This window comes from Homo sapiens, chromosome 12, assembly GCF_000001405.40.
Source record: "Homo sapiens chromosome 12, GRCh38.p14 Primary Assembly".
Classification (NCBI taxonomy): domain Eukaryota; kingdom Metazoa; phylum Chordata; class Mammalia; order Primates; family Hominidae; genus Homo; species Homo sapiens.
In genome coordinates this window covers 21836017-21860340 of record NC_000012.12, presented here as the reverse complement: position 1 = coordinate 21860340, position 24324 = coordinate 21836017, and the positions used below count along the sequence as shown (strand labels likewise).

At 35.9% G+C, this 24324-nt stretch overlaps 1 protein-coding gene across 8 annotated transcripts in view; it reads left to right on the top strand.

Moving 5' to 3' along the window:
• Positions 1-24324, top strand: part of ABCC9 (ATP binding cassette subfamily C member 9) — a 144038-nt gene that overhangs the window by 81086 nt on the left and 38628 nt on the right. For all 8 annotated transcript variants that reach the window (XM_005253288.5, NM_001377274.1, XM_005253290.5 and 5 more), the window contains 9 exons: positions 675-755; positions 7836-7973; positions 8119-8244; positions 12095-12191; positions 14509-14738; positions 15426-15574; positions 15789-15858; positions 17870-18027; positions 22171-22263. In XM_005253288.5, the coding sequence (XP_005253345.1) occupies positions 675-755; positions 7836-7973; positions 8119-8244; positions 12095-12191; positions 14509-14738; positions 15426-15574; positions 15789-15858; positions 17870-18027; positions 22171-22263 (1142 nt within the window). The remainder of the gene's footprint in view (positions 1-674; positions 756-7835; positions 7974-8118; positions 8245-12094; positions 12192-14508; positions 14739-15425; positions 15575-15788; positions 15859-17869; positions 18028-22170; positions 22264-24324) is intronic.

Below are 24324 nucleotides of genomic sequence, written 5' to 3'. Positions count from 1 at the left end.
GTAGTGGTGTAGCCAGGATTAGTCTGGCTCTGTGGCCTTTGTTCTTAATGGCTGTTCTTTTTTGCTACATACCGCAGTGTGTATGAGAATGGACTTAAGTTCTGTGAGCCTCAGTTTCCACATGTGTAAAATTAAAACAATACCTACATCTTGGAATTGCTATGAAGAATAAGAGAAATTTAAAAATGTAAAGCCATTTGCACAAGTCTGGCACATACTAAGAGGTCAATTAATACTAGTTTTTTTTTTAAAGTGTAAGTGGTACTTTATTATGAAAGCATACTCTTGGATAGTACTCTTTCACATAACTCATAATATCAAATTTGGGTTGTATGTTAAGTAAACTACAGACACAACTCAGTAAACAAGAAAAAATCTTGGAATTGCTCGCATTTCCTAGCAAGTGTTTTGGTTATTAATGCTTCTGTACAGCAGAGATCTCTATTAGAGTGAAAGGAAGATTAACCATATCAGCCTGAAGCCATCTTGATTATTTTGAGAACTGTTGGCCAGTAGACAGTTTCCATGTTTTCTTACCAATGTTACTACAATTTAATTAACAAGTTACTATCAATCTAAGATTTTTAAAAAGACGTTTGTAATTTAAGGTCATATTACCAAAAGATCATTTACTAATATTAAAAAATGGGTATTTGGGGGTGTCTCTTCTCTAGGGCATCAACCTGAGTGGGGGACAGAGGCAGAGAATCTGTGTGGCACGAGCGCTGTATCAAAACACCAACATTGTCTTTTTGGTAAGAATATGGCCTTCCCTTTTATTTCTATTTCATTCTTCCATCTGGACAAATGAGTCTTTAAAAAGGTGTAAGTCAAGTAACTCAAGGAAAGATGGTTTAACTTGTGAAATCGTAAAGTATATAGGGGAAATAAATCCTTGAAGTACAGATTAGTAGATCAGTAGAAGAGCAACGTATCTTGAGAGTTGGGAGGATCCAGATTGGTGTCCAAGAGACTTAGATGCCCTAAGTGGTTGTTTTTCTGAGTTTCTTAACCAGGAAAGGATTTGGATGGTATTGGATGAACGAGGCAGGATCATAAGTCTTCTTATTTATATTTGATGGCAAAGAAAAAAAGCCAGAAAATATACTCTTGGTAGACACAGGGCTAAGTAAGCGTAGTACCCCATTCCAGTGCTGTGCAACTCGGGCTGTGGATAAGCTTTATCTGTGATGCTCCCTACAACTGTAGAAAGCTTGGTTTTGCTCTAGACCTGTGGCATAATCTGTAAAGGTAGAATCTAAAATTTATGTCTTTAAAAACGTCATGAATGATTTTCGTGATATCCATCTTGGACTAATAATTTACTTCTAGCTGTGGATCTAGAAATAAAATTTGACGGTTATGTTGATTATAATTTTGGTCTATTTTGGTCTCTCCAGCAGGAGGTACCTAAAATAGCTTACAAGTAGACAATGGGGAGATGCTGGCAGAGTATGTAAATGCATCCCTGCCTTCTCCTTCTGTACAATTATTAACCACTTATCAATCTGGTTCCCAGAACATTTTTAGAGTCTTCACTCCATCTAATCTCTAGAGCCTCTTGAAAAAGTAAGTTGGTTTTGGAGTTTCCCACTGAATTTGGATCTGTCATTGGGGATGGTAGCAGAATTTGGACATACTAATTCATCCCCCTAAGAATACCTGTCTCCAAAGTTATTCCCCCTCAAAACCTAAAAACACCATGAAAGCCATTGCAGGATCTAACAGTAGCCTATGTAATTGTAGATTTTTTTTTTTTTTTGAGATGGATTCTTGCTCTGTTGCCCAGACTGGACTGCAATGGCACCATCTCAGCTCACTGCAACCTCCACCTCCCAAGTTCAAGTAATTCTCCCACCTCAGCCTCCTGAGTAGCTGGGATTACAGGTGCATACCACCATACTTGGCTATTTTTTTTTTTTTATTTTTAGTAGAGACTGGGTTTCACCATATTGGTCAGGCTGGTCTCGAACTCCTGACCTCAAGTGATCCACCTGCCTCTACCTCCCAAAGTGCTAGGATTACAGTTGTGAGCCACTGTGCCCAGCCGTAAATTCTTTTTATAATAATGGATGGATCCACAACTAGAAATGACTTCTTGAACCTTGGGATCAATTACTGACTGAACCTGAGGAACTGCCTTGGAAATCTGAAAGGGACTGAGGTCCCCTGGGTGTGGCTTTCTTCCTCAGTTCATTTTACTGCCTGCTATGATTTAGTGACTCCAACCTACTTCAATTGTAGAATCATGGAAATCAAAGAAGTTGTAGGACTAAATTATTGTCAATTCCCACCCTTTCATTACAAGATGACTTTTAGCATTAACTCTAACAGCTTCTCGATGACTCTCCCTGAAGATACATTGCTCACCTTTAAGGCAGCTTTTCCTGGTTGGACAGTATATAAATTTCCTGTTACTGCTATAAAAAATTGCCATAATTGGTGACTTAATCAATGCAGATTTATTATATTATCTTATACTTCTATAGATTAGAAGTCCATCAAAGTGTCAGCAGGGCTGTGTTCCCTTCTGGGGACGGGAATAGTCAATATTCTTGCTTTTTCCAGCGTTTACAAGCTGCCTACATTCTTTGTCTCACGCCTGCCTTCCTCCACCTTTGAAGCCAGCAACATGATGTCTCTCTGACTATTTTTACATAGTCACGTCTTCCTCTCTTCACAGCCGGGAAAGTTTTCTGCTTTTAAGGATGCATATAGTTAGTTTAAGCCTGTCTGGATAAGCTCCTCATCTCAAGGTCTTTAGTCTTAATTACATCTGCAAAATCCTGCTGGACATATAAGGTAACACAGTCACAGGTTCTGGGGATTAGGACCAGGGCATCCTTAGGGGCCATTATTCTTTCTACCACAGACAGCTCTTATTATTGGAAAGTTATTATGGTATTGAGATCTGCTTCTGAGTACTATCTGTTCATCAGCCTGCACTCTACTTCTGCAGCAAAATATATATATATAGTTCAACATTCTAATATTAGTGTCATAACTTGTCTAAATTTACATTTCTCTAGGCCAAGCAAGCATAGTATTTTCAATTCTTCCACAAATAACATATTTTGTATAACTTTTCTTAATCCCTGATGTATAGTGTTTATATAAGTGTCCCTTTGAAAAACTCTGTGCTAGATGCACACTGCTCAGCTCAGATAACCTTAAAACTCTTGGGTCTTATGATCTTGGTCTTATTACTCCATTGCAACTTATTGAAAAACATTTTAGCAGCAATGGAATGCTGTTGATGTGTTTTAAAAATTCCTCAAAAATAATAATATCTCACATTTCCATTGTTTAAAAATTCACAAGGTACAGTATTATCCCATTTGATTCTCATCACAGTGCTGAGAGAGGGTAGATGGTATCCTCAAGCTAAATGCGGAAACTTATCCAAGGACTGATGTCTAGTGAATGACAGAGTTTGTGCTAGAAATGCATGCCTTTTGAGTATTGGCTATGTAATCAGCAAAGATTCTCTGGTATTTTCTGAAATTATTGCTGTATTTTCCTTTTCTCTCCTTTCCTTTTACATTTCTTCTTTACTCACTCACTCCCTGTTATCCTTTCTTTATTCCTCCCTCCCTTTCTTCTTTCCTCCTTTCTATCTACTAAAATTCAGTGAACATCCCCAATGCCATCTGTTGTGCTGGGTAAAGAAAATAGAGTTGAGAAAAAGGCATTACTTATATCTTTAAGGATTTTACTTGTACATGTCACTTGAATAGTTTCACATTTTGCTCTAAATAAATTTTTATCATGTTAGCCTTGATGCAGTATAAAAGTTAGATGAAAATGTCTTAATTATGTATCAAAAATATTATTTTTGAAAACTTCATTGCATCTGCAAATGTGCTGTATCAATGAATATATTAAATTATTTCCAAAAATACATCCATATAAAGAATATACTATTTAAGCACATTTATTGAATATATAAGAGAATATATTAATGAAGACTGTACATATATATATTAGAATAAATAACATAAGCTTGTAAACAAAGAATTGACCATTCATTGAATTGGCCGTTTGGCAATTGTCTTGCTTTCTTTAAAGGAAATATTTCCCCATAATCTTATTATATACATTGAATCTGGAGACATGTTTCTCAAGCCATTAAGCCTCAATTTTTAGTAAGTTGTAGAAAAGGTTATATTTGACAAAAAAAATCACAAATCCCCACCATGAAGCTATGGCATATAAATGATAGTTCTGTGACCTAGGCATGATTCTAAGTACTTTATACACATTAGCTCACTTAATTCTCATAATAACTCTCCTAGGTTTGACATTATTGTTGTTATTACTATTATTATTGTTATTACTGCTGTTCACAGATGAACGTACTGAGGCTTTTGGGGATAACTTATCCAACATCACACAGATAGTAACAGTGAAGCAGGGATAGAAAGTCAGATGGCTGGATTCCAGAGCTTGTGTTCTTAGTCACCACACTCTTCCTTATTAAGAGATGCTTGGAAGATGCTAAAGTCTCACTGTGATACATTGAAGGGGTAAGCACAATATTAATCCACCATGGCTTTATTTATAAGAAAATAATAATAAAGCAACACTTTTGAAATGATTTACAGACTTTGACTACATTATTTTGTTGCATCTTTGCAGCAATCCAAGGTGCTTTCTCTCAGGCCTCTTTATTATCCCCATTTTACAAATTAAGTGACTGAGTTTGAAACATTGGCCAGCCTCCAAGAGTGGTCATAACTACAATTTGGACCTTTTAATTTAGAGATAATGGACTTTCAATTATGCCTTACTAACTTCTAACATGTAAAATCAGAATTTAGGCTGGGTGCGGTGGCTCACACCTGTAATCCTAGCACTTTGGGAGGCTGAGGCAGGCAGACCAGTTGAGATCAGGAGTATGAAACCAGCCTGACCAACATGGTGAAACCCCATCTCTACTGAAAATACAAAAAAATTAGCGGGGCGTGGTGGCGTGTGCCTGTAATCCCAGTAAGTTGGGAGGCTGAGGCAGAAGAATTGCTTGAACCCAGGAGGCAGAGGTTGCAGTGAGCTGAGATCATGCCATTGCACTCCAGCCTGGGCGACAGAGTGAGACTCCATCTCAAAATAAATAAATAAATAAATAAATAAATATCAGAATTTTATGGACAGTCAAATTGAATTATTATAAAAATTTATTTTCAATTCATGTCTTATTTTTTCTGTGAAAAATTCCCAGGAAGAATCATTTGGGATAGTTTGGTCTACGTCACAAATTATTCTTGGGGTTTTAATGGAATCAGAAGCAGAAAGTTATTTCAAAGGCAATCAGATTCCCCCTGTGAAAATCATCTGCTTTTCTAAAACCAATAATTTGCTGATATCAAGATTTGCTAAATCTTGATAATTATATCCTTGCTGCATTGTTGGTGATGGAAATGGAGACACTTTTGTCAGTGTAATCCTGATATTTTTCCATTGCTGTGGAGATATCACTTTATATTGGTTCTTTGACTTTCATTTTTAAGTAACTGCAAAGTTACATTATAACTTCTATGTTAAAAGAAATTTCATATATTAGTGGTAGAATTCTCTACCAGTTATCAAAATCTAATAATTTTAAAATTCAAGTAAGAATATTTTTTTCTTGTTATTAAAAGGAGCTAAATGACAAGGAGCTAGTGTCTGTGATGATTTTGAAAAGCAACTCACTGGGCAGTTGAAAGCCAATTCCTATACACAGTACTTATTGCAACATCTCAGAAATAATTGATGTGCATTAAGATGATCCAGAGGGTCTGAAAGATTTGAAATATTTCCCTTGTCATCCAAAGAAATTTCAGGACAATCAAGATAATTGTGTCTATTTCTATAAAAGTCATTTGAGGACACTGATTATATCATCCATTTATTCACAATTACAATATCCAGCAGACTGATTTTTTAAAGGCTCCTATAATTCTTAATTACCCTTTAACTATCAAAATGCTTTGTTAATATTTCTTTTGCATAAGGATTCTCCTAAATGCTTTAATAAGGTCAAATTTCTTATAGTTTCTATCTATGCAGACAAATAGATGGAAAGTTGAAAAATTACTGAGCTAATCATATGACAATCTATAATGATTATACATAAATTTATTCTAACTTCCAAACTTCAGTTTCTCTCTAAATAGCAATTACTTTTGTTTTGTTCATTATTCAGATTATTAAGCAATGCAATCTATCTGTAGAGAGACTATGACTGTGCTCAACTGAAAATTTTGCAGAATTGTTATTTTTAGATATCTCAACATGTAGCCTGTGTGTAGTAGCATGAGAAACCAGCTCCTTCTTTCTTGGGCCCATAAGACAAAGTAGAAGTTTGTTTGCATATTACCTATTGGAGAAGCAACAAAGAAAGAAGGGTAATGAAGAAGACCTTTATAAACTTTTTTTCCCACTGTTCCATTAACTCTTCCCAGTTTTTACCTGAAACATCCACCATTTTTTACTGCTTTGTCCCTTCAGTGCTCCCTCAGTTTCTTTCATTCCCTGCCATCCCTGGTCCTTCTAAGGAGTGATTATATTCCTGCTGCACCTCCTCCCTTCAGGTCACTTTGCTTTCTAACTCATAGTTTGAGGATACATTCCAGTTTTCTTCAGTTGTTTCTAGCTCTCCTATTTTTAAGATCCAAAATGTGAAACATGTAGTTTGATGCTCTATATAACATTTTAGGTATGAAATATATATGAAAATAATTTATAGTGATATCATCAACAAAAAAAGACAATTAATGTGAGTTCTTAAATTATTTTCTAAATATCTTAATCACTTGGTGGATAAAAACATTCTCCCTAGAACAACTGTCATCAGGAAGTGTTAGGCATGCTATTCTTATATATAATAATAATAATAATAGCTAACAATGTAAATTATATACCCACTACCATACTAAGCACTTCATGTATATTAACTCATTTAATTCTGAAAATATCCCCATTAAGTAAGTCCTGTTATGATCCAGTTAACATTTTCTTTTTTCTTTCTTTTTTGACAGAGTCTCGTTCTGTCACCAGGCTGGAGTGCAGTGGCGCAATCTCGGCTCACTGCCTCTTCCTCCTCCAGGAACCTCTTCCTCCTGGGTTCAGGCGATTCTCCGGTCTCAACCTCCCAAGTAGCTGGGATTACAAGCCCACGACACCATGCCCAGCTAATTTTTGTGTTTTTAGTAGGACAGGGCTTCACCATGTTGGCCAGGCTGGTCTCGAACTCCTGACCTCAGGTGATCTGCCTGCCTTGGCCTCCCAAAATGCTGGGATTACAGACGTGAGCCACCATGCCTGGCCCAATTAACATTTTCTATACCTAGTTTTGTTATCTAGAATTCAAGTACAATTATCTTTTTCATTCTTTGTTTTGCTCTATTATTATAGATTGCTGAGTAATACGGTTTTTGAACTTGCTGATTCTGTAAGAATTCAAAACATTTTGAATAGTGTTATTTACTTTTAAAATAATTTTACAAAGTTTGTTTTTCTTTTTGCCTGCAGGCACTTCTAACTTTATTTCATTGTTTGTTTTTCTCCTGGCCCTTTTTTATTTTATTTTCTTTAATTTTTATTTTAGGTTAAGAGGTACATGTGCAGGCTTTTTATATAAATTGTGTGTCATGGGGGTTTGGTGTACAGATTATTTTGTCACCCAGGTAATAATCATGGTACCTGACAGGTAGTTTTTCTTTATCCTTTTTTTAAATAAATTAGATTTGGGGGATGATTTGCCCTTAGTTATTTGTATTACTATTTTCGAGAGGAATTGAGTTATGTAACAAGTATAGAAAACGTCCATCTTTCCTCCATTTTACTGATTGCAGGATGATCCATTCTCAGCCCTGGACATTCACTTGAGTGATCATTTAATGCAGGAGGGGATTTTGAAATTCCTGCAAGATGACAAAAGGACACTCGTTCTTGTGACTCACAAATTACAGTATCTGACGCATGCTGACTGGGTAAGAGTTTAGAAGAGAATTTTGCTCATTTTTATATTATAGTCATATAAATAGAGACAGTAAAAAATGCTTTCTGAAATAAAGGTAGTTCATTTTGCCAATCAAGGCTTTTCGTCACATTTCTGGGAATATCCGCTTTCCTTAGATCATAGCCATGAAAGATGGAAGTGTCCTAAGAGAAGGAACTTTGAAGGACATTCAAACCAAAGATGTTGAGCTTTATGAACACTGGAAAACACTTATGAATCGGCAAGATCAAGAATTAGAAAAGGTAAGTGCTCATAGTTCAGAAGAGTTCAGAGCCCAATTCAGAAGAGTTAGAAATTTACTAATTACTAAGAATGCTTTTTAAAAAATTACCATTTAATACTTTGTAATATAATGGTCTTTATCTGAAATCCAAAGCAATTGTATCTTTGCATATTATTAATGAACAGGGTACTTTGAACCTATAAAATTCTAATGCCATCTTTGGATGAGGTGCAGTCAGGTTTTTAGAGGCTGTTTGTTTACATTTCAACCATAGTGCAATTATATGTGTGTTTAAAACTTACAGAAACTACTTAACTGAAGCATGGCGTTTCCTTATTTTTTCTTATTTATACCTCATTTTTCTCATCTATAAAAGTAGAATATTTTCACTAACCACCTACAAATAGAGGGTCATTGGAAAGTCAAAAGCCAAGGTGATCTTGAAGGAAGAGCTCTGAGTAGTGGGCAAAGTTGTAAGGCATATCTGGGATAAGGCTTCTGGGGTGAAAGAAGGTAATCAGAAGGAAATAAAAATAAAATTTTACATTTGTACTTTTTTTGAAGTCCACAAAGCCCTTTTTACATGATGTGTTTTAATTCTCACAAACTCCTGACAAATAAGCAAAGAAATATTATCTTACTTAGACAGATGAGAAAGCTGAGGCTCAGAGAAGTTAAGTAACTTACCTAAAGTTGTACAGCATATATAATAAGTGGTACCAATGGGATTTAAACACAAGTGCATATCCGGTGTAATTACACTATAATGTTATGGGTGATGTAAGTATAACATTGAATGAGGTCATCACAGAGTTGGATACCAGATTGAGTACAACAAAAGAGGAAAAACTCTGATAGACAAGTGAAATTGTAAATTAAATTTGCAAATTTTTGAAATGTTTTGTTCTTGAGTTGGGAGTACAAAGTGTCCAGCACTTGGTATTCTTATCCAGGAATGAGCATTTACAAAATGAAATATTTGTACCAGTGAATTTCTTTAAAATATTAGGAAATTTAAATATATTATTTTAGAAAAGAAAATAAAGGATCTGTCTCCATAGAGAGAGGAAGATACAAAGTCAGATAAACCCTAGGATTTCTCTACCTTCTTTGGATTTGCTAAAGATCTCAAAAGCAAACCACACAAAGAAGAAAAGATATATGCAAAAATATACAAGCAGAATAGGACAAATCACAGAACCATTGAAATGAGGATATTTGGCAAAAAAAGCAATAAACAAACAACAAACCCCAAAACAGTATCAGGTACAGTTGACAAGTGCCTGCTTAGGAATTGTGCTGTGGGAAGCTTGATTCTAAACGTACCGGGGATAACTCCAAATGACATTTTTTTCAGTGATCTAAATGCCAGGGACAAAAGAAGATGACGTAAACTTAAGGATTGGGACAATTTATGGTTTACTTTGGAAAGAAGAACTAGAAAATAAAGAGAGCTGTTGGCTCAATATTATAGTAACACTGTTAAGCAAGCCAGGAAGAAAGTCCATTAAGTTGTATTTAGAAATGAAGTGATCACTTGAGATAGCATAGCTGTATAATTAAAGACACATTACAGGGTTATGTATGAACTGAAGGAGGTGTGGAGCAAGTTAGGGTATGGACAGGGTAAATCCAGTTACAAGGTAGAATGGCAGCCAGTAGAAGCCAGAATGAATCACGCACCTGCCCAGAATCCTTATCTCAGGATGGAGGGAGATTACTGCCATGTAACAAAAGGCAGGCACCTGAATTCATCTGCAGCCAGAATCACACTGTGAACAAGACCACTACGATACCTTGGGGAAGTTTTTGTACAAACAGATTTCGGTTTACTTTGTTATGGGACAGGACAGGGTGTTTCCTATCAACCTGGGCCAATTTTCCCTCCTAGAGGACATTTGGCAACATTTGGAGACATTTTTGTTGTCACAAACTGGGGCAGGGGGATGCTATTAGCATCTAGTGTGCTCAACATTCTGCAATGCTCAGGGCAGACCCTGCAACAGTGCGTTGTCCAGCTCAAATGTCAACTGTGTCAAGGCTGAGAAAGTCTGGCCTAGAGCCAGAACAGATCAAGCAAGTGGAGAAGGAAGGTGAAACCGAAGGATGCACAAAATTTCCTAATGCAGTGCTTGAAAAAGAGCTGTCAGTTTAAGGATCAAGGGGTAAACAGGAAAGAATATGATAGATAGTAATGAAAACTACAAAGGAGAGGGAGTTAACACTTTTAGCTGATTTAAATATTAGCTTAAATGACATGAACCATTATCTTCTTAATGCTGTTAAGCAGAATAAACTGGTATTATTTAACACTCCTCACTTCCCTCTCTACTGTCCTCACCTGGCCTGGCCCAGTGAATATTTATTGGATAAATGAAACTAAATTTTTATTTACTTAGTCCAAGCATCATCACTATTTAAAACATTTAACCTATAATGAGCTTAATATGAGCATTTACTCTTAGGAAAAATTGCTTTAAAGTTTGTTTGGGTTTTTTTGTTTGTTTATTTGTTTTTTTAAGTCTCCAAGGTCTTAAACCTTTTGGTCACAGCATGGGGAATCGAACTGGAATCAAATCTACTTTTCATTATGAAGGTTTATTTTATTTCATTATATGATATGCACAAGACAGGGATCCTCTTTAATTTTGAGTTTAATTTAGCTTCATTTATAAATGTTGGTCTTCATATCGTTATGCAAAATTTAAAACTGGGGTCAAACTCTCTGTAAAAATGGGATTCAGGAGACATTTTTGTTTTCACTCTTTTAACCAAGAATCTGAAGTAGTACAACCCTCTAGAATAGAAAGTTTCCTAAATCAGACATGTTGTATGAGGCCAAAAAAAATCAACCAAGGTCACTACCTAGCGACTAATCACAAAAGGTTTATTGGTTTTTTGATGTAACAGAAAAACTGTGTAGGTTTTTTTTTCTTTGTATTGGCATATACAGGAAGCTCCCAATTTACCATAGATTCCAAAATGTGTGGGTTAGTTGTTTAGAATTCAGAATACATTTCCCCACAGAAAAGGGGAAATGGTTGGTTTTCCAGAATAGCCGGTAGAACCTGATTTAACCCACAATGTAACTGAACTGATACTACTACTGCAGTCCTGAGGTCAGGGGAGCTGGTGTGTTGGAAGCAGGGCATGGAGAAAATGAAATGATTCTACCCTTCTTAACTACAGGATAAAGTTCACAGCAATTCTTAAAAATCTGCAAAGTTTGTTTTTGGCACGTTTCCCTTCTCTTTCTGCATATTTTCTCCTCCTAGGGCTTTCTCTTACACTGCTAGGCACCTAGAATCCTCATTGCCTATTTTCTTCAACGTTCTCTACCTTCTTTCAGATCCTATTGAATTCCCTTTCTTTTGTGCAGCTCCCTTAGTGAGATGCTAAAGAAACTCGTTCTGATTTAATAATTCATAATAGTGGATGACTGACATCAGTTTAACCAACTTGGAACCATGTGCTCTTTTGAAGGAAGATATGTATTAACATGAATGAATCCTTAATTAGAAAAATTACAAGGATAGTCTGAAGGTGATGTAAAAATAAGTAGCAATGGTAGAAATATGCTTTAGGGCTCAGGGAGATATCACCCTGCTTCTGGAGTCAGTTGCATCTCATTCTTGCTTTTCCTGGTCTCGTGTGCTGCTCCACACCTTTGAGCACTGCAGCACTTACTACAAGTCTAAGGTTCTGCCCCCACAGCTGTTTCTGTGACAGGAGTTGTGGATCTCCAGAGTGAGCACAGAGCGCTTGAGATTGGTAAAGGTAACTAACCATTTACACGTGTGAGTCATTCATTGATAAGTCACAACCTATTGGTGTTAGCTCCTTGCATGATAGTACAATGTTTACTGCAGGATATGGAAGCTGACCAAACTACTTTAGAGAGGAAAACTCTCCGACGGGCCATGTATTCAAGAGAAGCCAAAGCCCAGATGGAGGACGAAGACGAAGGTAGATCTTTTTTCTTTTATCTGGAACATTCTAATGGGATAACAGGATGCGAGGGTTTTTTATGTGTGAGTGTCTCCATGAGGAATAATAAGCCACTTTGCCAGGGGAAAAAATTAAATCAAGTAATACTGAAAATGGAAACAATAGGAGTCAAGGAAAGGTGGATGTAATCCATCAACAGTCATCTTGAGGGCCTCCACAGAATATGTCTTACTACAGTTGTTATGTGTGAGAAAGACTTGAAAGGAAATGGCAGTGGATTCTAAATAGATCTAGAGTTGTGTTCAGAAAAATTGAAATTGTCTAGTATAATGACCAAATCTGCTTAAGAAAATTTCAATCCTTCAGAAATAAGTAATAAAGGGGAAATATGGCATTTTGAAGTAGCTGTATTTGATTCATTCAGTTCATCTTCATGAGGTTTTCATGACAATATAGCCATGAAGGATAAGAAAATTAGAATGCCATTTGTTATGTTTCAGTTTTCCAGATCTGATAAAGTATACTGGGAAAAAAAGATTGACTGGAAATGTGAGGAATGAGATGAAATAATTACACTGCTTTGACATTCATTGCCAAGAATGTTGTGAGATAAACCACCTTTTAAGTCAATAGAGTAAATGCTTTATGCCTCATTTCCCATTGTAATTTTTGCTTATGCCTGCATTTCTACCAACCAATTAAAAAAAACAGAGAAAATGTTCATTTCAAGTCAAATAGCACCAAAATGTGCTTTTATATTTCTGTATTTCAACAAATATTCATTGAGCGAATGAATTAATGAATGAAGGCTACATTTTACTTTCAATTTCTATGATTAAAAATGTTCTTAAAGAATTTTTGGTGCTGTAAACAGACATCAGCTTCTAGAACTCTATATAAATTATTTCTAATGGGCTATAAGAGTGGAGTTGTACCCAATTATTCTGTTCAGTGTTTCAGTGGGGATGCTGACTGTGCCCTTGGCTTGCTGTGTTAATCCATATTCTCAGGTATAAAATAAGGTAATAGCACTTTGCTTACAGGGTAAATGAAGTAATGTATGTTGAAGAGCCAATTACAGTACATATTACTTATTAGTTTGTTGCTGCAGGTCCTATCAGAATGCTCAAGCCAACAGTAGGGGAAGAAAAGAAGTAGAGGGTACTTCCTTTCTCTTAAGAGAAAGGAGTTGAGTCTTAAGAGACTCAACTCAAGTCTTAAGAGACTTGGAGTTGCACGTATTGTTTCTGTTTACTTATTATTGGCTCTTTCATTGCTTGGAAAGATTAAGTACTAGGAATGTGAGGAAATGCTGTCTTTAGCTGGGCAGCCATGGACAACTTTAAATTTCAATTAATATAGAAGCAAAGAATGGGTATTGGGGAGACAGCTAGCAAAGTGCAAGTGTCCACCTCTTTGATCATGCGAATTTCTAGTCTGTTCTTCTCACACAAAGGACATACCCCTGCCAAAGGGGAGAACCTCTGAGACGTAGTCATTTACTGCATCCAGCTCAAATATCAGGATCTTTGGTGATGCTCAGTCTTCTCATCATAAACATATTTGGATCCCTGTGGTCTAATAACCTAAAAAGTAAAGACAAGTCCTTCCTCCCCACAACCTGATATGTATATAGTATAGTATGAAGTACATACAGGGTAACTTTAATGAATAAAGTTCCTTTGGAAAAGCAAAAGATGGGAACACAGTCACTGGACCATAGAAATGATCAAATTTTGATTGTCAGGAAATGCAAAGCCTGCTTTAGCAGTGGAGTCCTTCTTAAGGAAGCCCATCTTGGAGTTTCTAGATGGTTTAAACATCTGAGAGGAATTCCTAGCCCATTATCCTTTGTGTCCCCTGGCTTTGCCCACTGGAAGTTTCCTCCTTGGGGCCATAGACAGCATGGAGTATGCCCTCTTGTGCTATGCACAGATTTCAGAGCTTACTCCCTCCTGGTGCAGCTTTATAAATTCAGAAATTTGCAGGTCACAATATTGTAGATGTTTGTAAGCCAGGTATGTGGTTTTTGTTGGCAACACAATTCCTTCAATAACTTTGTAAGTTTCTTCCAGTCAATTTGATGTGCAGTAAATCAGCAAATAGTCTCATCCAGATGTAGATTTTACATTTGTTTTATCACTCATTCATTCATTCATTTTTCACCTATTTTCAGAAAGAAATAAGGTTTGCCCTACTAAAAGCATTTAAAACTTCAATACTAATGCTTACATTTTTATAAATGTATGAATGTTTATATACTATTTGTGGAGCAATAAAAATTATATCTAGCCGGTGCCCATCTGAAGCTTAAACAAAAGTTTTTTGTATGTAGAGGAAGAAGAGGAGGAAGATGAGGATGATAACATGTCCACTGTAATGAGGCTCAGGACTAAAATGCCATGGAAAACCTGCTGGCGCTACCTGACATCTGGAGGATTCTTCCTGCTCATCCTGATGATTTTCTCTAAGCTTTTGAAGCATTCGGTCATTGTAGCTATAGACTATTGGCTGGCCACATGGACATCGGAGTACAGTATAAACAATACTGGAAAAGCTGATCAGGTACAATTGGTTCGGTTTTGTTTTTAAATCATCAAGGAAATATTGAGATTAACAGTGATACCTTCTTATCTAGTTAGATGCTTATATCCCAAATGCCATAGGACTTCTGTGATAATTTAATAAGTTAATAATTACAACAGGACCTGAAATAGAATAAACTATCAAAAATGTTAAAATAGAAGCTATTATTAATACTTTTAAAGTTTATCATAAGAAATATTTAAATATAATGTTTAGACTTGTATTCAAGAGAGTTTATACATATATTTTTATATATGTTATACATATATACACACAGAGGACCTTTTTGTATTTGTTCTTATGGTATTTGATGTTAACTACCTACATCAGTATATTAGCTGGTCATTTTGAGACTAGGAATGAGAAAAGTGAGCTCTACAACATAGAAAGCCAAGAATATGCCCCAAACCTGAAAACAAACTCTTTCTCTTCATCTGCTTTTAAGCAAGCCTTGAAGGAGAGTGAAGGGAGCAGGTGGAGGCTTGGCCTGTGGAATTATGGTGGGGATACTACCCTGGGCCTCAAAAAATTGCATTCCTTCAACCGTCTAAATGCATGCAAAATAATGAAGAAAACAATCTTGTCTGACATTGACATTTGGTTTTCTAGTAAGAAAGAACTCCATTGATAATTTCCTATGTGCTTTTTGTGTTGGTTGCTTTTTAGACCTACTATGTGGCTGGCTTTAGCATACTCTGTGGAGCAGGCATTTTCCTTTGCCTTGTTACATCCCTCACTGTAGAATGGATGGGTCTCACAGCTGCCAAAAATCTTCACCACAACCTTCTCAATAAGATAATCCTTGGACCAATAAGGTAAAACAGTGGTTATTTCTCACTCCCACACATAAAATAATAAAAATATGCATTTTTCAATTTAAGTGGAATGTGAAAGTTAGAAGAATTTCTTTAGTCCTTGAGCAAATGAATAGGGAGCTTCTCATTTTCATGACACTAAGATGCCCATTAGCAATGCCCAGGTTCCAAATAGTTTAGTATTATCATATACTTCCATCTGTTTATTGCCTAGGTTTTTTGATACCACACCCCTGGGACTGATTCTCAATCGCTTTTCAGCTGATACTAATATCATTGATCAGGTGAGTAACTGGGTTACTTCCAAGTTCAAAAATTAGTTTCACAATGTAAGCTAAATAGCATTTTAAGATAAAGTATAATTCCTATTAACAATAGAGGATTTCTGAAATTTAAATAAAGGCCCATTTGTATTTGTATCAATACATGCAAATGATATCTAGAATGAAATCTTAAAGGAAAATCTTAACTCAGACTAATTTGTACATGTAGAAGAAGATACTTGGAGAACCATCATGAAGTAAAGAATGATTGAACATTTAAAATTTTTGATTATAAAAAAATTGTTTTGATTAAAGTCATATCAGCATTCACAGTATAAAGTTCTTAAAAGTTTAGTATTCATGCAGAATTTCTCTCAGAAGTGAAGGATGGGATGCCAAGCTGTCTTAAAGTCCTTTACTTTTATTAGATTGGTTCTTGAAGCTTCAGATGGTGTGATACTTTAGGAAAAATTCCAGGAATGCCAAGTTTAGCCTAAGATCCTTAGGAATCTAAAAGTTTGTTTGAAATAAAAGACATCAAACTCTGAAATTATATCACTCTATAAGTGGAACCCTCTGGATGACTGAGAAAGGAATTCATCATATCCAGCCCTTGTCTTTTCTGACTTTCCAGAGTAGCATTCGGAATACCGAAATGGCCCTCAATTAGAAAGAGGGTTGATGCATGCAGCTGACTGCAGAGTATGATGAGAAGTTTTGATGTTTTCATGGCATTGGTGTTAGGTCAGACTGCACCTAAAACCTTTCTAAGGAATACACATTAGAAAAGAAGAAATGAATCACTCATTATTTAGAAGATGACATGATTGTCACTTAGAGAATTCAAAATAATTAGTAAAATAACCAATTAGAAAAGTCAGCAGAGTATCTACATAAGATATATCATATGAAAAGCAGCAACTTCCTCTATACCAATTTAAGAAAATAGTGAAAAACAAACTCCATTCATAACAATAAAACCTATAAAAACAGAAATAAACTTAATGTGAAGAAAATATGTTCAACAATCCCAGAAGTCATAACAATCCTGTACAGAGAAAGAATTTCCCTATTAGATATTTTTTAAATACTACAAAATTCAAGCACTCTGTTAATTGCAAAAGACAAGTAGGTCAAAAGAGCAGCATGGAGAATTCAAAAACTCCATCTTATGTAGAAATTTAACGTATAAATGTGGCATCTTAATAAGGAAAGGATTAATTTTTCAATAAAGGATATTGGGATAATTAGCTACCCAAAAAATACAAAGCAAATGCATATAGCATAGAGGTGGTCATATTAAAACATAAAGCTATAAAGTAATGTAGGAAAATAGTTTTAGAATCTTGGGGTGGGAAAGGTCTTTCTCAGTAAGACAAAGAACTCAGAAACAATAAGGAAAATAGGTTACTTTTGAGCCCACAAGTCAACAGAAATGACTATAAAAAACTTTAAATTGTGATTGAGCTAAAAGCACCAAAGGTAAATTTAAATACAATAGATAACTGGGAACAAAAATTTGCAAATATTTTTTAAATAAACATAATATATACAGAGCATCTAAAAATCAATAAGGAAAAATTAATTCACTCAAAAAAGCCCAAAGGATACGAGGAAGCAATTACAGAAAATTAATTTAAATGTATTACAGTAGAGGAATAGCTAAATAAGCTAATACTATGCAACCATTAAAAAGAAATAGATTTGTATGCACTGCCATGGGAAGATTTACAGTCTGTCTTGCTCAGTAAACAAACACATGAATGAATAATATTTATAGTACAGTGTCATTTACATAAAACACCCAAGGTAAATAGGTAGATAGACAACTAATCAACGACATGTTGATAGATAAATAGACAGACATAATAAACTATGGGAAGTGAGTGAAGAATTGCTTAGGATGAACATGCTTATACACTACTTTGGTAGTTAACTGTGTAACTATCAACATAAAAATAGGTATTTTTGTTACATTGCAGCCAATATTTCACTGGGCTAATCATATTTTCCTTTTAAACTACCCTAATAGCACATCCCTCCAACCTTGGAATCTCTAACTCGCTCAACACTGCTCTGCCTGTCTGCCATTGGGATGATTTCTTATGCTACTCCTGTGTTCCTGGTTGCTCTCCTGCCCCTTGGTGTTGCCTTTTATTTTATCCAGAAATACTTTCGGGTTGCCTCTAAGTAAGTAAAACAGCATCCCACTCATTTTCAAAAGCTTATCTACAGTCAGCCCTCTCTATTCATGGGTTCTGCCAACAACAGATCAAAAATATTTGGAAAGAAAACATTCCACGAAGTTCCAAAACACAAAACTTGAATTTGTCATGTGCCGAGTACTACATTGAATACACACTGATGAAGCGATGTGTGATGTGTTGCCATTGAATTAGGTAGAATAAGTAACATACAGATGATTTAAAGTATATGGGATGATGTATGTAGGTTATATGCAAATGCCACCCATTTTATATAACGGACTTGAGCATCTGCAGATTTTGGTATCCATGGGAGGTCCTGGAATCACTTCCCCATGGGGACAATTGTATTTGATTTACTGTGATCTACATTTGCTGTAGTGTTTTTCAAGATAAGATGTGGAATTTAGAAATGCAACCTATATGAAACATAATGAAATCTATCCTGACATTATGATTCATTTAGGTATCAATTAATATTATAATTATACCTATAATTGGTTGTCTGGGCCTTACCTAGTCCTGGACATATATTAACATGTGGATTGATCTATTGAGTTTTGAGTTCTAAGACTGACAAATTTTTCACTCCATGGTCCTTTTTCTGAACATGACATTGATAGAAAACAAAAAATCAAACATAGGCCGGGCGTGGTGGCCCATGCCTGTAATCCCAGCACTTTGGGGGTCTGAGGCGGGCGGATCGTGAGGTCAGGAGTTCGAGACCAGCCTGACCAACATGGTGAAACCCCGTCTTTACTAAAAATACAAAAATTAGCCAGGCGTGGTGGCACCCGCCTGTAATCCCAGCTACTCAGGAGGCTGAGGCAGTAGAATCGCTTGAACCCGGGAGGCAGAGCTTGCAGTGAGCTGAGATCACGCCACTGCACTCTAGCCTGGGTGACAGAGTGAGACTCTGTCTCAAAAAAAAAAAAAAAAAAAAAAAAAAAAAGGAAACCAGAAACATAATCCCAAAGAGTAAGTGATTTAATATTATTATACTCTACAAATGGGAAAAAAAATATTCGTTTAGGATTTGTCATTTACTGAGATGTTGAATAAATGAAATATAATACCAGCTGTTTTAAAATTTCCAGTTTAACTTTGAAACCCCGCTATATATAGTATAGTAAAGTTTGTTATTTCAACAAATACTAAGCACTCATTGTGTCACAAATAGCTGTGTTAAGCCACATGACAGGTGAAGAGATTGATATGTCAGGGGCCTGTTCTCAAGAAATGTATAGTCTCTAAGGAAGATAAAACATATACAAAGTAATCCTAATACATGGATAAGTGCTAGAATAAGAAGGTAGGTATTGAGTTTATTCAGAAAATTGAAAATGTTAATATGACTTGAGTGCAAGGAAGGTGAAAGAAAGTAGGAGGAGATAAGAAGAAAAGAATTGTAGATGGGAACCTCTGAATGTATCATATAACATTTCATAATTTGAAGAAATAGTTGTTTCTCCCTCTTAGCTATGAATTAGGATCCTTTAAATGTCAGGGATCCACATTTAGTCTGTTTTTCATCCCTAGACTCATCGTCTTTGCTTGCAGCAAATTCTGATCAAAATGGAGAAGCTAGTAATCAACTTCACATTTCTTTTCTTCTGATACTATTGCTGGTCTACTTGCTGGTGGGGCAAAGATGTTCAGAGTTATTTCATCACTGCTGATGGTTTCCAAATCTGTCCTTGCCTTCTCAACACTGATATCAGTCATGTCTTACTTTAATCACATACTCATTTGGTCCTATTATTGCCCTTTATCAATACAAATGGAGTGCAAAGTTTGGGAAAATATTCCTAGTCCATCACAAATTTGAATTGTGAATTCTGTTCATCATCAGAATAATCTATTAGAGACTAAAGTATGGAGAGGATGGTTATTTTAAAGAATTAATATTGACAATGGATTGTACGCTATTCTTATTTGAAATTATCTGAAAGTTAGCAAATATAACCATATGATATTAAACCTCACAAACAAGGATCCTTCTAGATGTTGAGGTTCTTTAGAACTCATCCATGTTGAAAAGCTCAGGCAGCTTAACATGCCATTTTTGTATACACTAAAGAGAACTTAAGTGGGAAACTAGCTACAGGAAATGCTCTGAAAAAATGAATATTTAAAATCATGGATCAAATGCTTGCTTAGCTTTGTAAGTAACTGTTTCCTTCTTGCAAGAATACAAGATCAAGCTGTGCCCTCACCTCTTTGGTTTTATCAAACACAGTTTTATAAACAAAGCTTCCTCCTTCCACAGTATTTTTCCTTCACTCCAAACCTCAATGTAGTGACCACCTGTTGCTTGTGTCAGATTTACAAATAGCCATTTGGTTTTATGTTTAAAAATAACAGACTATTCACATTCCTTCATATTCCTTCTCCCACTTCCTTCTATCTTTCTCTCCCCGAATCCCCATGTGAAAATTCTGAATGAGGGAATCCATTTTAGAAACTCCATTTTGAAAAGACTTGCATTTGTTTTGGGAACTAGACTACACTGGCAGCCAGGAATGGCATAAGTTAATTGTTGAAGATTATGGAACCATGTTCATCCGTTCAGTTGACCCTCACAGGTGAATGCCAACACTACTTCTCTAATCTTCTCAACCCCAAAAACCTAGAGAAGGGCAGGAAAAAAGGTCTGAAAAGTAAAAAATGGAATGCATTGAAACATGTGATATAACTGTTAGCCTATCTTCTATAAATTCTAGCTCATGTGGTTTAAAGAAAAGTTGTCATGAATATATCTTTATCAAAATGGTCAGATTCAGCATTTCCATTCATTCAGTATATGTCTGTGTTTTATGTACATGTGGTTCCTTAGAGAAACTGTGAATGGAAGTTCCATGAAGGCAAGGATTCAAACTCACTGTGTCCAAAACTAAACTCATTATCCTTTCCCTCCAAATGTCTTCTTTCTGTGCCCCTGACCACCACTCTGGTAAACAGCACTGTCACTTTTCAAGTCTGTTAAACTAGAAATAGCCAAGCTATATGTGACTCTTGTTTACCCTGTGAAAACTAATTGATCATCACAGCAAATAGGGCTTCTTCTGACTGTCCCACATTCCCCTACTTCCTATTTTAAACTTGACCAGCATCACATTAATTCTGAACATTTTTTTAAAAACCTCTTATATGGACTATATTAACTGATCTTCCTCACTCACCCATTCTCTTTCATCCTGTACATTGTCTCCCAAGTTATGTTGATTAAAGGATTAAACGACAGCTCTGATTACCTTCTTTCTGTTTTATTTTTGAGACAGCGTCAGGCTTTGTCACCCAGGCTGGAGTGCGGTGGAGTGATCTTAGCTCACTTCAACCTCTGCCTCCTGGGTTCAGGTGATTCTCCTGCCTCAGCCTCCTGAGTAGCTGGGATTACTGGTGTGCACCACCACGGCTGGCTAATTTTTTGGTAGAGACAGGGTTATGCCATGTTGGCCAGGCTGGTCTCAAACTCCTGGCTTCAAGTGTCCACCTGCCTCAGCCTCTCAAAGTGCTGGGATTACAGGTATGAGCCACCGCACCTGGCCAGATTACCTTATTTCTAGTCTTCAGCGATTTTTTTCAGCCCATTAAGGATGTTTCTACAATCCACTGTCACCCTTACAAGGCCATATCCTTTACATAGCCTCTTCCTACTACAACAGCCCTAAAGGACTCTGGGCACCAGACAGATTGAACTTGCAAGATTCTTCAGACACCGGTGCTTGTTCTTGTTATTTTTCTTCTTGTCTATTTTGTAGAAGCCCTCATCAAGCTTAAGGTCTCGCCTAAATTCTACCCGCTTAAGGAAAATCCCACCAATGTCCTAGGTATGAATTAAGTGCTCATTCCACTGAATCCTGTAGCAGTTTACTTTGGCTGTTACACAGAGATGATAGTTTTGTACAACACATTATGTTCAGCCTCTACCTGTATTCATTATATACCCATCTTTCTCTTCCTCTTTAGATTGTAAGCTGTTGAAGTTTTTGTTAATTGAGTGCTAGGGGAAAAAATTTCAATGAGGAAAACAAATACAGTGACAAAATAACTTTCTCTTAAAGAATAAACATGGTAGTCTTTGAGTCTGGATGCACATGAAGTTTATTTTTGCCCCTCTCTCTACTAGGGACCTCCAGGAACTTGACGATAGTACCCAGCTCCCTCTGCTCTGTCACTTCTCAGAAACAGCAGAAGGACTCACCACCATTCGGGCCTTTAGGTGAGTAAACACATTTTTATATTAGCTGACTAGGCAATAACATCATCAACAAATATTTTTCTACAAATAACTGATCATTGCTTTCATTTTGTTTGATCTCCCCATTGTGTGCCTGATGGTGTACTAAACCAAGAATAAGAAAAATTTGGTGTAAATGATCAGAGTTAGAGTTTACTCATCCAAAATGCTAACTATAATAAAGGATGAAGCAACAGATAGGAAAAATACTAGCTGTGTGACTAGGATAAGGCATCTGAATTCTCTAACCTTGGTTTCCTCATCTATTAAATGGAGAAAATCAATTTTGCTTCTTAGGGTCATTGGACTAGTTAATATTATCCCTGCGAAGTATTAACCACACTGACTATTGAAGAAGCATCCAATAAACAAGTTAAAATAAATGTATAAATAATAATAGTAATAATAATTCTCACAAAAGAAATATTATTACACCAAAGTTGTTTTAGAATTTAATCCTTTTTCTTCAAGGTTTGTAAACAGAGTAATAACCTAAACTTTTGATCAAGGGTGTTTACTTTCAAAAAATTACCTATCCCAATTTTCCTATTCAAGTCAGATTAGCAAAGAAGATGATATTACTGAAAATTTCATTTAATCTAGAAAATTGATATTTTAGTGTTATAACGTTCTGAAATCCTAATCGCAAGTATATATAGATTTTAACCAGAGATTTTTCTAACCTACGAAATTTATTTTTAAATATAGAATTGGGTCACAGAGTAGAATATAGAGAGACAACTATCCACAACATCATGTTCCACAGCACGTCTACATAATCTATGTAGGCGGCATCATGAAGCATTCATGCTTTCTGCACTGGTATGTTTTTCCATCATAATGTGCAATTCCTTTTATTGGAGATGTCAAAATTATTTATTGGCATTGAATGTAGATATTAACATGAAATTTATATTCTAACAACCACCAATGATCACTGGTATTAATATGTACACCATATTAAAGATTACTTTTTTCACCAAATAAGTCCTTTCAATTCAATTTATTTAAGAAACATTTGAGTACCGAACATATGCCAGGTACTATTCTTGCTGTAGATATATAAAGACTAAAAAGACACGGCCTTTCATTTCCAACCAGCAAAAAGTGGCACTGTTGCCCTCCCTCCCCACATCCTCCCCACATACACCTGCCATGTTGTCCTTTTTATTTCCTTTGTGATATTTATCTGAGTATTTTAAATCATCTTTTTTATTTGTTTACAAGTTATCTGTCCTTTCCAACTGGAATGTAAGCCCTATCAGTTCATCCCCCACTTTTTCTTTTTTTTGTTGTTGTTGTGGCATCATTAGCTGGGAAAAGTGCCTGGGACTAAGTAAGTGCTCAATAAATATATATTGACTAAGTAGCTAACATGGGCTGTGTTAAGGAGCTCACAGCCTAGTAGGAGAGAGGGCTTAAGAAAAAAAATAGCAACACAGCATGATACATAGTCTAATATCACAAGAAACAACTGTGTCAGAGAGCAGGGTAGCACTCTGTCTAGAAGGAATGGGGAGATAATTATTGAATAACAAATCTTTGAATGAGGAATAATTGACCTGGCAGATACAGGAGATAGAATATTGAAAGAAGATATAACAGATGTGTGAAAATATAAAGATTTCTATTTTATATGGAAATCAAAAGAGTCCAGTACTGTTGGAACATACATTAAGTACAGAGAAGCTGTCTGTGGCGATGAGGCTTGAAACCATAGTAGAGGCCAGTGCACAAAGGGCATTGATAAGTATCTTTAAATAACTTAGACTGGATCCTTTCAATGTGTGGTAGTCACTGAAGAATTTTGAGCAGGAAAGTGATATGATCAGAGTTGTGTTCATCACAATAACTCTGGGATACTACTATGAACTGGGGATGGTTAACGCCCGAGACAAGGAGACTCCAGGAGGCTGTTGCAGTGGTCCACATGAGAGATTACAAAGGCAGGATAAGGAACTAAGGACCGGGAGAGAAAGCACAGATTTAAGGAATATTTAGGAAGTGGGAACAATGAGATTTAGGAGCAAATTGAATGTGAAG